Source organism: Homo sapiens, chromosome 21 (genome assembly GCF_000001405.40).
Source record: "Homo sapiens chromosome 21, GRCh38.p14 Primary Assembly".
In the NCBI taxonomy this organism is placed as follows: Eukaryota; Metazoa; Chordata; class Mammalia; order Primates; family Hominidae; genus Homo; species Homo sapiens.
In genome coordinates, this window is record NC_000021.9 from 34,820,311 (window position 1) to 34,832,597 (window position 12,287).

Sequence of the window (12,287 nt, forward strand, 5' to 3'; positions counted from 1 at the left end):
TAGGTGTGGCTTTGAGGAGGACTTCCCTTCCTTGCATGCTTTAAGAATCCCTCCTCCAGCCAGGCATGGTGGCTCATGCCTGTAATCTCAGCACTTTGGGAGGCCGAGGCGGGCGGATCACCTGTGGTCAGGAGTTCGAGACGAGCCTGGCCAACATGCTGAAACCCCATCTGTACTAAAAATACAAATATATATATTAGCTGGGGGTGGTGGCAGACTCTGTAATCCCGACTCTGTAATCCCGGCTACTCGGGAGGCTGAGGCAGGAGAATCCCCTGAACCCGGGAGGTAGAGGTTGCAGTGAGCCTGGGTGACAAGAGTGAAACACCGTCTCAAAAAAAAAAAAGCATCACTCCTCCTTAGCACGAATTCAACCTTTTAAAAATGGAGACTCAGAAGCAGCACATGATACTGAACCCAACCATGGGACCTAGCATCTCCCTGAGATGGTGTATTTCCAGAAAAAGGCAGTGTGACGTACAGCATGGTTCAGTGCCCAAGTGAATGATCCACACCAACCCTAGAGACTGTTCTGAGGCTACCTCTGAGGCAGACCCGAACCAGCCAATGGGAAGAGCACTGGGCCAGGAGCCAGAAAACCTGGATGTTAGGTCTGCCTCTAGTTCGGAAAATCACTGAAACTCCCTGGGCCTCGAGTGTCTCATGAGTAAAATATAGGGCTTTGAGCAAAGAAGTTTAAGGTCCTTTCAACTTTAACAGTTTACCATTTGGTCTTGTGGAACAGTGGTTATGGGAAGGTCTCCTGTTTGGGTTTATCCAAGGAAACAAAACTCAAATGAAAATACCACTAAAACCACCAATACCTTTATCCACTCTGGGGCTCCCGAGGAATAAGGAGACACCGGGGGAATTATCGCAGAGTAGCTGTGTGACTTGGAGAGGACCGATGGGTACAACTAACTGGTGATACAACAATGCCGCCAATAAGAGCACATAAATAGCAATAATAGTGAAAAAGAATAACATTGACCATTTATTAAGTATTGAAAGTGTACCGGGATCCATGCTAAATATTTGATAAAAATATATCTCAAAGACTTTGTGAAGGATTAATAAATACACACAATGCTTCCCATGTGCTGTGCATCAAGTGATTTCTGCAGGCTAACTCATTTAATCCTCACAATTGTCCCATGTGTTAGGAACTATTATTGTTACGACGGTTTGCAGAGGGGGAGAAGGGACACGGAGGAATTACAGACCCACATTCTGCCTTCCTCATAACGTGCATTCTGAGGGCTGTCATCTTTCTTCTGAGTCTCTTCTGAGGATGAGATGGAAAAGATAGCTCTATCCTGGCTGGGGAGAGGGATGGACAGAAGAACTGACTTCTGCCTTAACATCTCCAGGGTGCTGTGTCTTCCTCTGAGGGAGCCATGTGTGACCAGGGAGAAAGTTCGAAAATAAGGACAATTCTTTATAGAGCCGCGAATGCATTCCCCTCCCCTACCCCAAGGCGTGAAAGAATCAAATGAGGAAATCAGGAAGAGATTCTGGAATAGGAATAACAAGATTTCCCTTCCCTTCCACTGAATTGGCCATCAGTAATTTTGCACAAATTCAATTTTGAAGTCATGCTTCGTAATTTGTGGTAAATCATATTAAATTAAACAGATCCATGTCTGGGCAACGGCTTCTCTCATTTAGGAACATATGGTGGCTCAGAGCCTCTCACACAGCAGAACTATAAAGGCTCCTTCCAAATAAGCAGCAGAGTGAGGGGCTCTGGGGCAACCCTACTGGTTTTCCTGAGAATGTTAGTTAGGGGTGACCATTAATTCACGGGAACTGCAGTATCCAGAATGACAGAATGTTAGTGTTGAAGACAACCTGGTTAATCACTTACATGATAGATGAGGGACTGGGACTTGGTGGTAAAGGAAACAGTGCTGGGTCACGTGAAAACAAACCAGACACCACAGGCAGGACCTTCCGGGCAATGCTTCCCCCTAACCATGTCATGCACCTACAGGTGACTGGTGGTGGGGATTCAATGAACCAGCAACATTGGTCTGTTCTATAAATACGAGCTATCATTATTTTATTACTCCCTTCAGTAAACATGTGAACCAGGCAATGTCCTTGTCATAATCTTGCTGTCATAACTGCTCTGTGATAACCCAGGTATAGACACAATCACAAACAAAGGCTATCATTTTAAAACGGGGAAGTGGGTGAGTCTCATGCTTCAAAAGCTTCTGCATTCATCTTTAAGATACCAGCCTTGTTGGACGACCAACAGAAGCGCATCTTAAAACTCAGGCAGTTATGGCTGTTCCACATAGCGGGTGATTTACAACAAAGTATAGATGAAGATTAACCGGCCTTGAGATGAGAGAGCTAAATAAACCACTTAGTGGGCAGAAAGGCCAAGTCGAGCCCTTGAGCTTGTGCTGACTTTTACAGATATTTTAATAACTTTATCATTATATAATTTGCTATCTGATATGTGCGGAGAGATGCACTAATGGAGTGAGAGTGGCCACAACAGTGTTATAATCCCGCGAGACTTAATCAAACCACCATGTTCGTGTCCCTCATGTGACCTGCAACTCCAGGAAGTGCAATCCCTAGTCACATTATTTCTTCCTCCCTTTTTATCTTGAGATGTTCTTTAAAAAAATCCCAAAGCAACTGGACATATGTAGTCCTTCCAGTGATATAAAGAGGAACTGGCACAGCATAAGCTCTCTGGGTCTTGGATCTGGCTTTAGAATGACTCAGGTTGAACACATAAAGCCGTAAGGTAAAGAGGACATCATCCATAGCAGGAACTGGCAATTTACAGGGCTGGGAGACTTAACCGTCCCAGACGGGTGAGCTCCTGATACTCAAGTTAGCGCTGACTCAGCGAGGGCCTTGAGGCTTGACTCACAGATCTTCCCTAGGGATGCTTTGCTTTTATGACATCAACTGAAGGATCCTGCAGTGTCCTCCATACTTCCAGGAGGATTGAGCTGGACATTATAGTGGCCCAAGTCTTATTAAACGGAACTGATGATGTTGACTTACGGAGGCTAAGATTCAGTGACCCAGTTCAGATTGTGTGGAAGAACCAAGACGGTAGAGGAATTAAGCACCATTTCCATTCCTGGTGGGTTTTTTTTTTTTTTTTTTTTTTTTTTTTTTCAGATGGAGTTTCACTCTTGTCACCCAGGCTAGAGTACAATGGCCTGATCTCGGCTCACTGCAACCTCTGCCTCCCAGGTTCAAGCGATTCTCCTGCCTCAGCCTCCCAAGTAGCTGGGATTACAGGTGCCCGCCACCACACCCAGCTGATTTTTGTATTTTTAGTAGAGACGGGGTTTTGCCATGTTGGCAGGCTGGTCTCGAACTCCTGACCTCAGGTGATCCACCCACCTCGGTCTCCCAAAGTGCTGGGATTACCAGCATGAGCCACTGTGCCTGGCCCCTGGTGTGTTTTAAAGCTCAAGTTTCATGCCACCCCATAGGTGTTAGGTGACATGAGACACACAGGTCAGAATCGCCATCTCCTCTTCCCTCTGCCCATACTGATTCCCTCCAGGAAAGAAAGTAGGGAATTTCATCTTTAAGAACAAGAATCCCCTTCCAAAAAGGTTAATTCCCATAACAGGATCTACGGAGATCAGAATTGGAAGACACTTTTCAAAATCTTGAAACCCTATTGAGAAAGTTCTAAACCCTAAAAATGACCCTAAGGTTGTATGGAATAATGATGGTGCCCAGGATTGTGGCATCCTGTGTCTGGAGGCAGTGGCTGTCTTTTCTGCCCAATCTTTCCTATCCATGATTCAGTCAACATTTAGTCAAACATTCAGTCAAGCATTTAGTGCCATTGTTCTATTTTTTCTTAAAACAGAAAATAGTCTATTCCATGCCATTTAGGGGAGCGTGAACTGGCTAAAACTCAACCTGAAGACTTTCCATAGCTTGCTAATCAGAAATCACCTGAATTAGAGGTGGTACATTCTTCCCCTATCAATTCTCAGGAGTGCAAAGAGAGACAAAAAATAAACATGGTTGGCCAATGTTTGTTTTTAGGGTGAGTTCTATACTATTTTTCTATTATTATTTTGCTTTATTTACTGTGGTTGGTAACTGAATCTCTAACATCAAAACATGAGATGTTCTGCCAGAAAGAGATTACAGAAGAAAAGCCTATGAAAAGAAACTGGGTTTGTCAGTGAAGATTTTATTTACAGGAGTTTTGCAATCGGTATCTTTAATCTCCATAACAATTGGGCTATTCTACTGCTTTGAAGGCAATTGTTCAATAATGAGAAGGTCCCTGTGAGGCTAAGGCTTGGAAGGAAGAATGTAACAGGGCTGGTGACAATTGAGGCAGGTGAAACCCTCTGCCTCTGTCAATTTCCCCTAAAGGTCAGGGTGGGGTGTTCTGAGGGCCAGAGAGAAATAAGCAAAGACACAGGTAATGAAAGTCCCTCCGCATCATTTAAATCACAAATACTGGATTTTAAAGAGCCCTAAAATAACTGAATTCGAGTGGGCCTGAATTTCTGTTCCATAAGGCAAGGAAAAATCATGTAGATGAGTAAAACCAACTCAGTCTGGAGAACTATGCCTAATAAGAAAACCCAAGCAGTAGCTTTCTAAGTAGAGCTGTTTTTCATATTAGCATATATTGTTTGTTCTTCTCTCAATACAAACTTGTGGTAAACTTTGATACTACTTCATGACTACAGTAAAAGTTTCTTTTTTAAATGTCCAAATTTGAAAGACTATCTTCAGGCGATTTGTAAATCACCATCCTTTAGAAATGGGTGTGTAGTCAACAATGCCTGGCAATCAAGTCACTTTTTTAAAAGGCAGCTTGCTTCAAAACAACAGTGACATGCCTGGCTTTGGGAGGTCAAATTCTTGAGTCCATCCCAACTGTCTGGCTTTGGTCATCATGTCATCTTTTGTTCCCATTTTTCTGTTCCTACCATCTAAGCTGTCATGAGCTTTTGGAGGCTAGGACAAGAGGCACCTGGGCCTCCTGTTTCCCCATCTGGCACTGCTCCCGGGACACAGGGAAGAGAGCTCTTTCTCTATCACTGTCAGGACCTCTGATTCCATCGGTATAGGTGCTCTAGAAAATATTAAGGAAATATCTGATCTCATCTAAAAAAAATCATACATTTTTCTGGCTGGGAAATAAAAATACTATGATGTTGCGTTCAAACAAATGATGGACTGAGGTTATAGTAACACGATTGGGGCATTTGTGCATGAGATGTTCAGTTCACATTTACCTGTCTACCATGTTTGTTCTGGGGGATGGACTTGGGAGAGTTATCTCTGGACTCACCTGCTGTGCCTGGTCAATGGTCTGATGTCCCCTGTCTTTTGTACAAAGATACAGCAGTTTGAACGGTGGCTCCAGAACCATTTCCTCACCCCCAGAACTGTGAATGTGACCTTATTTGGAAAAGGGCCTTTGAAGCTATAATTAAGTGAAGGATTTTGAGTTCATCATGAATTACCTGGGTGGGTCTAAATATAGTAACATGTATCCTTAGACAAAAGAGATGACACAAAGGAGGCCATATAAAGAGGGAAGAAGAAGTTGGAATGATACAGTCTGATACAGTCACAAGCCAAGGAATGCCACCAGTGGCTGGAAGAGATAAGGAAGTATCCTCCCCTAGAGGCTTCAGAGAATGTATGGTCTTGCCAACACTTTGATTTTGGACTTCTGGCCTCCAGAACTAAGAGAGAATACATTTCTGTTGTTTTAAGCCACCAAGTTTGTGGTTATTTGTTAAAACAGCCACAGGAAACTAATATACTTGTGCTGTGGTTTGATTATGTCCCTCAAAAGTTCACATGTTGGAAACTTAGATCCCACTGTGGTGGTGTTGATGAGGCCTTTGCAGGGAGCAAACGGGTCATGAGGATTCTGCCCTCATAAATGGATTAATGCCATAATCATGTGAGTGGGTTATTGGTGAAGTGCCTTTGTTATAAAAGCAAGCTCTCTTGCACATGCTTTCTTGTGCCCCTTGCTTTCTGCCTTGGGTTAATGCAGCAAGGACCCCACCAGATGCCAGCACCATGCTCTTGGACTTCCCTGCCTCCAGAACCATATGAAATAAATTTCTTTTGTTTTCTTTCTTTCTTTTTTTTTTTTTTTTTTTTTGAGACAGAATCTCACTCTGTCACCCAGGCTGGAGTGCAGTAACATGATCTCAGCTCACTGCAACCTCCACCTCCCCGGCTCAAGCGATTCTCCTGCCTCAGCCTCCCGGGTAACTAGGACTCAGGTGTGTGCCACCATGCCCAGCTAATTTTTTTTTTTTGTATTTTTAGTAGAGATGGGGGTTTCACCATGTTGGCCAGCCTGCTCTCGAACTCCCGACCTCAAGTGATCTGCCTGCCTTGGCCTCCCAAAGTGGTGGGATTACAGGCATGAGCCACTGTGCCCAGCTGTGAATTAAATTTATTTTCTTTATAAATTACCCAGTCTCAGGCATTTAACAAAAGAACTAAGACAGAAAGTTGGTACCAAGATGTGGGGTTGTTACTACAACAAATACCTGAAAGTGTGTAAGTGGCTTTGGAACTGTATAACCGTGAAGGCTGAACAAGTTTGGAGGAGCAGGCTAGAAAAAAGCCTGCATTGCCAAGAACGGTTCTGCCATTAGGGGCAATTCTGGTGAGGGCTCTGAAAGAAGACCTTAGAACTAGGGGAAGTCTAAATCTTCGTAGAGATTACTTAAGTGATTACTTAAGTGTATGTGACCAGAGTGCTGGTAGAATGCTGGTAAAGGCCATTCTGATGAGGCTGCAGATAGAAATGAGGAACAAGGTATTGGAAACTGGAGTAAAGGCCATATTTATAAAATATAAGGTTGCAAAGAGCTGGGTGAAATTGTGTCTGTGTCCTAGGACTTAATGGAATGCAGAACTTAAGAGGGATGAACTAGGATATTTGTGGAAGAAATACTTAAGCAGCAAAGCATTGAGGCTGCTGTGTGGCTACTTTTAACTACATATAGTGAGATGTGATAGCAAAAGAATGACTTAAAGATGAAATTTGCAATTAAAAGAGAAGCAGAGTGGAAAGATTTGGAAAATTCGCAGCCTGGCCATGTAAAGAGTGAAAGTGTATTTGGAAGAGAGTACTAAGGGTGTGGCCAAGCAACCATTTGCCAAAGAGATTAGTATGAATGCGAGGAAGCCAGATTCTGTTCATCAAAACAATGGGAGAAAGACCCCGAAAAGCATTTCAGAGATCTTCAAGTTGCTCCTCCCATCATAGGCCCAGAGCTCTAGGAGGGTAGAATGATTTTAGGGGACAGGCCTGGGGCACCCTTCATGGGCTCACTGCCCAGGGCTGCCTCTAGTCTCTGCTTCCTGCATCCTGGTGCAGCACACCTTGGCCACCCCAGCTGTGGCTTCAGTGGGCCTAGGTATACCTAGGCTGCCATTCTGAAGGGCACAAGCAGTATGCCTTGATGGTCTCTATGTGGTGCTAATTCCGTAGGCATGCAGAATACATGCTGTGGAAGCATGGCTTCCTCCACCTAGATTACGAAGGATGCCACAGACTGCCTAGAAGCTCAGGCCAAGACCTACCACAGGGGAATACCACTGCAGACAGTACCTAGCAGGGCAATGTTGAACAGAAATGTGAGGTTGAAGCTGCCACAAAGAGTCCCCACTAAGGCTGTGCCTAATGGAGACACAGAATTGGGGCTATCCCTGAGAACCCAGAACTGCAGAGCCACCAGTGTGCAACTCTAGCCTGGTAATGCTGCAGACACAAGACTTCAACGTGAGAGAGGTGAAGTTTGGGCTGAGCCCAGCAAAACTGTAGGGGCAGGGCTGCCCAAGGCCTTGGGGGCCTAGTCTTAGCCCCATTGTATCCAGAAGGCAGAACATGGAGTCAAAGGAGATTATTCTCCAGTTTTAAGACTTAATATTGTTTACCCTGTTGGATTTTGAACTTATATGGGACCAGTTACCCCTATTTTCTTGCCTGTTTTTCTCTTTTGGAGTAGGAATTTCTACCTTGTGTCTGTCCCACCATTATATTTTGGAAGTATTATAGTAGACTTGTTTTTGATTTCACAAAGCTAATGGAATTTGCTTTAAATGTTTCCTTGCATCTCACCCATATCTGGTTTAGACAAGACTTTGGACTTTCGACTTTTGAGTTAATGCTGGAAAGAGTTAAGACTTTGGGGACCACTGGGATGGAATAAATGTATTTTTAAAATGAGAATCACATGAATTTGGGGAGGTCAGAGGTGGAATGCTATGGTTTGAATGTGTCTTCTCAAAAGTTCATATGTTGGAAACCTGGTTGCCATCATGGCAATGTTGAGAGGTGGGGCCTTTGGGAGGTGATTGAGTCATAAGGGCTCCATCCTCACAAATGAATTCATGCTACCATTGAGGGAGTAAGTTAGTTATCATGGAGGTGGCTTTGTCATAAAAGTGAGCTCTCTGACAGATGCTCTCTGCCCTTCCACCTATCTGCCATGGGATGACTCTCAGCAGATGATGGCACCTTGCTCTTGGACTTCCCAGCCTCCATAGCCATGAGCCGAATAAACTTTTCTTTATATATTACCCAGTCTATAATATATAAGACTACGACAACTTGATATTATTGATGTTGATCATAACAGCTAACAGTTTTTGAGTGTTAACCATGGGCTGGCTCTAATGTCCACTGCTTTATGTTTCACAGTGGTCCTAGGATCTGCTAGTATAATTATTACTCGTCTTTTGCAGATAAGAAAACTAAGGCTTTAAAAGGTTAAGTAACTTGCCAAAAGTCCTATAGTGAATGTGGTAGAAACTAAGGTAGTCTGCCTGTTGAGCCCTCATTCTTTCTTAGCCACTATGATCTGCTATCTTTCTTGGCTATTAGATTCCCAGCTCAAGCCTTCTGATATGTAGCCATCAATATCAAATACATGCTCCAACTACAACTTTGCTGAAACTATTAATCTTCCAAATGAAACCTTTTAGTGCATGGGTGTGCTGGCCTACATATTTACAAGCATAAGGGGAAAGTTCAGAACATATGCAGTCTACAGAAGAAATATTTCATCACTAAGATCAAGCCCTGCAGTGAATCTCTGCAGTCATCCCACTGGTTTTCATTTCTTCTCTCTCTCTCCCTTCTTTCCTTTAATTATTTTTATTTATTCCTGTGAACACCTGATTCAGGCTTGTTGTCGGGGTAAGATTATAATGCTATAGACCTGGAAAGGCTCTCATACCCTACTACACCTTGTTAAAAGCTATTTTTAAATGAAATCATTCACCTGTCATGTTTATAGCCTATTATATAAATTAATTTCTCACATTCTGAATATGTTACTTTGTGTAACCATTAAATGACCATTTATAGATTCACATATGAGGATTTCTGGTGTTTGATTGTAGCCTCCACTTTCAAGGTAATCAAATAGTCCCTACTCCCTTTGTTTTCAAACTTCAAATTGCTAGAAGAGTAAGGAAGAGAGGGAAGGAGAGGGAGAGAGAAAGGAAAGCAATGCAATGCAGTTGGATATTTTACCTCCAAGGCTGGAAAGAGGATTTATCTCCTTCTCCTACAGGAAGGTGGAAAGGTTTTCTTCCTTTTGTCTATCCAGATGATAAAGAGAGAATCAGACGGACTTAAATAACTCTATACAACTGAGAAACAGGGTCATTTCAGTATCTCAGAGTTTTGCAGACAGCAGCACCAGAATATAGTCCTTCCTAAGTAACTTTAATTTTGGGGGAAAATAATTAGCAAGACAGAAGTTACTTGGAATACTAAAAATCAAGAGATGATTTGAGAGGTCAGGGACCCCTCTTGGCCATATGGAACACTCAAAGTGAGGCACGCATACTCATAAAAGTGGATTAGATGTTGACTGGGTTTGGATGATAAGCACTTGGTCCCAATGAACTTCAAAAGTAGGAAGGCAATGGCCCCAATAAAGTAAACAGAGTGGCTGGTAAGCCTTCTCCCTGCTCATATACCCCCTCTTTCACTCTTATTTAGAGATTCATTATTCTGAGTTTTCTTTTCTCCCAAACTTTATAAACAAATGCACATGTACCAAAGGAGACAGTTTATTAAGGTGCCCACCACACAGCCTGGCCCCAAAATTCTTCTTATTATCAACATCTAATTATAATAGAACATGTTCAATACAAGAATGCCAAGTGAGTGGATAGCCCAACACTTTTTCCATCCCTCCTTTGGTGATTGGGATTCTTCTCGACACTGGTCAGCCCTGTAGTAAATCGATCCTTGACCCAAGAGTGCACGCCCAGGGAACGGCCATCCCACTTGCACTGGCTTTGTAGCAAGGAAGGTCTGGGTTTGCGTCCAAGTTCATCACTTACAATCTTTGAGATACTGGGCAATTTTTAACCTCTGAATTTCGATTTCTCTGTCTATAAATGATACCACAGGATTGTTGAGGGAATGGAATAATATGTACAAATGTCTGACCCACGTCAAAATAGCTCACAACTGGTCCAGTTAAAGAGTTAAATCTTCTTCCTACATGCTTATGACAACCAGCATGCAGAAGAACAACAAAATGGGCTTCCTAGTTTATCTAGGTTTCAGTTTTCTGTACCAGCATCTATTACTCCATCCTCATATTCCCAGAAAGGAGGAAATTACGACACCTTAAATGTGATACATCATATTTGGTCAATCAGGGGTGAAATTTTAAAATCACTCACTCGGGTTGCCCAAACCCATCTCTAGGTGGGAGTTGTGACTGAACAGGCATCGGTACCACTAGCTCTAGAATCTGCCCTGTTCTATCTTTTGAAATAAATTAAAAAAGAATTCTAAGACTCGATCGTAGAAGTTAATGATGGTGTCCTGACTGGGAGAAACGTGTAGCCCAAGGGTCTACTCATGACAAAATGGCTTTCTATTCTATTTCATGACAAAATGGCTTTACCAGTTTAAGACCTGGTAAAATAGGAAGTTGAAATAAACCTCAGCCCTTTAATAGTTAAGACCCCAACAAATAAACAGTGGTTTAGTGGCATGACAACTTGCCCCCTCTCAATCTGTACCGTGCTTCAGATAATTTGAGATGTCTATTTTGAGTGACCCTCCAGCACATGTGATTCTAGGTAAGTATTGGTGCTATTCTATATCAGTATTTTCTTGCTGACAGAGTCAGAGGAGCTGGCATAACCCTTCTGACAAAGTCCTAGCAAGGTAGGGTTCCTGAGCCTTTCTATAAATCCCGGCAAGCTCGCCAAACCCCCGGTTACTGACATTTCTGTAAAGCTGAAAAACATTCATGCATCTGGACAGCACCACTGTGGAACTACTCTGACAAATTGGATATTTTTCTGAAAACTACCACTGCCATTTCAAAGAAAGCCAGAAACACATGCTGTATTTCTTAAAGTATCTTCGTAAATATAACATAGAAATTTCAGGGCTGAGCCTGGAAAATAAGCATTTTCCTACTGTCAAGAACAAACTGAAGGTCTTGGCTGAACAAGACTTGCATATTATACCTGTTAACTTTCCAATTTCAAGAGAAAAAGCCCAAGGGTCTACTCAAAACATGATTAGCGTAAAACAGCGTTTTCTTATAGGAAAGAAAGAACAAAAGGAAAAGGAAAAGTTGTTTCACATGAAAATATTCTGGATACTTATTTTTTAAAAGTTGTTCCTAAAATTTTACAAGTGAAGTACTGAATATCAAATTCATATTTTGGAAAGAAAGAACACCAGCAATATAGTTCACACATTCTTTAGAGTAGCAACCAAGCCCGTAGGAACTCTAAAAGCGAGTTATGATTTCTTAAATGTTGCAGAAGTAAAAGTTTTCAAGAGGAACAAAAAAGGGGCGATGCTTAGTGTTAAACCTGATACTCTACTAAGCATATAGGTCTCCAAAGAGCTGACGAATGCCCATCACACGGTCCACAATAATGCTTTTGCCCAGGAGCTTCAGAGGATGAGAACTCAATGTGCAACTTCCCCCCATTTTTTTGTTTTTGTTGTTAAAGAGGCATATCTGATGAAGAAGGAAATCAGATTAGATTCACTCTTCACCAAGAAACAGAGCAACTCAATGGTGACAATATCAATTTTCCCCCATGTGGCTGAATTTTCCATTGCCTTTAAAAATGCTTAAGACTTTTTGTTCCCATATCAGCAGAAAAAGGCAAATCCCTTAATCAACCTAGTAGTATAAATGGCCAGTTAGGCAACGAGAGACTAAGAAAACAGTCTTCCTTTTGATTTTACACATGAATAGATGATGTGAATTAGTTTTCTGAAGATT

At 42.4% G+C, this 12,287-nt stretch overlaps 1 protein-coding gene across 17 annotated transcripts in view; it reads right to left on the reverse strand.

The window, feature by feature from the left end:
• Positions 1 to 12,287, reverse strand: part of RUNX1 (RUNX family transcription factor 1) — a 261,502-nt gene that overhangs the window by 32,510 nt on the left and 216,705 nt on the right. For 2 of the 17 annotated variants that reach the window (XM_011529770.3, NM_001122607.2), the window contains one exon: positions 969 to 1,386. The exons of the other annotated variants lie outside the window; for them this stretch is intronic. In XM_011529770.3, the coding sequence (XP_011528072.1) occupies positions 1,358 to 1,386 (29 nt within the window). In that variant the 3' untranslated portion in view covers positions 969 to 1,357. Of the gene's footprint in view, positions 1 to 968; positions 1,387 to 12,287 lie in introns of those variants that run through there. 17 annotated transcript variants of the gene reach the window in all.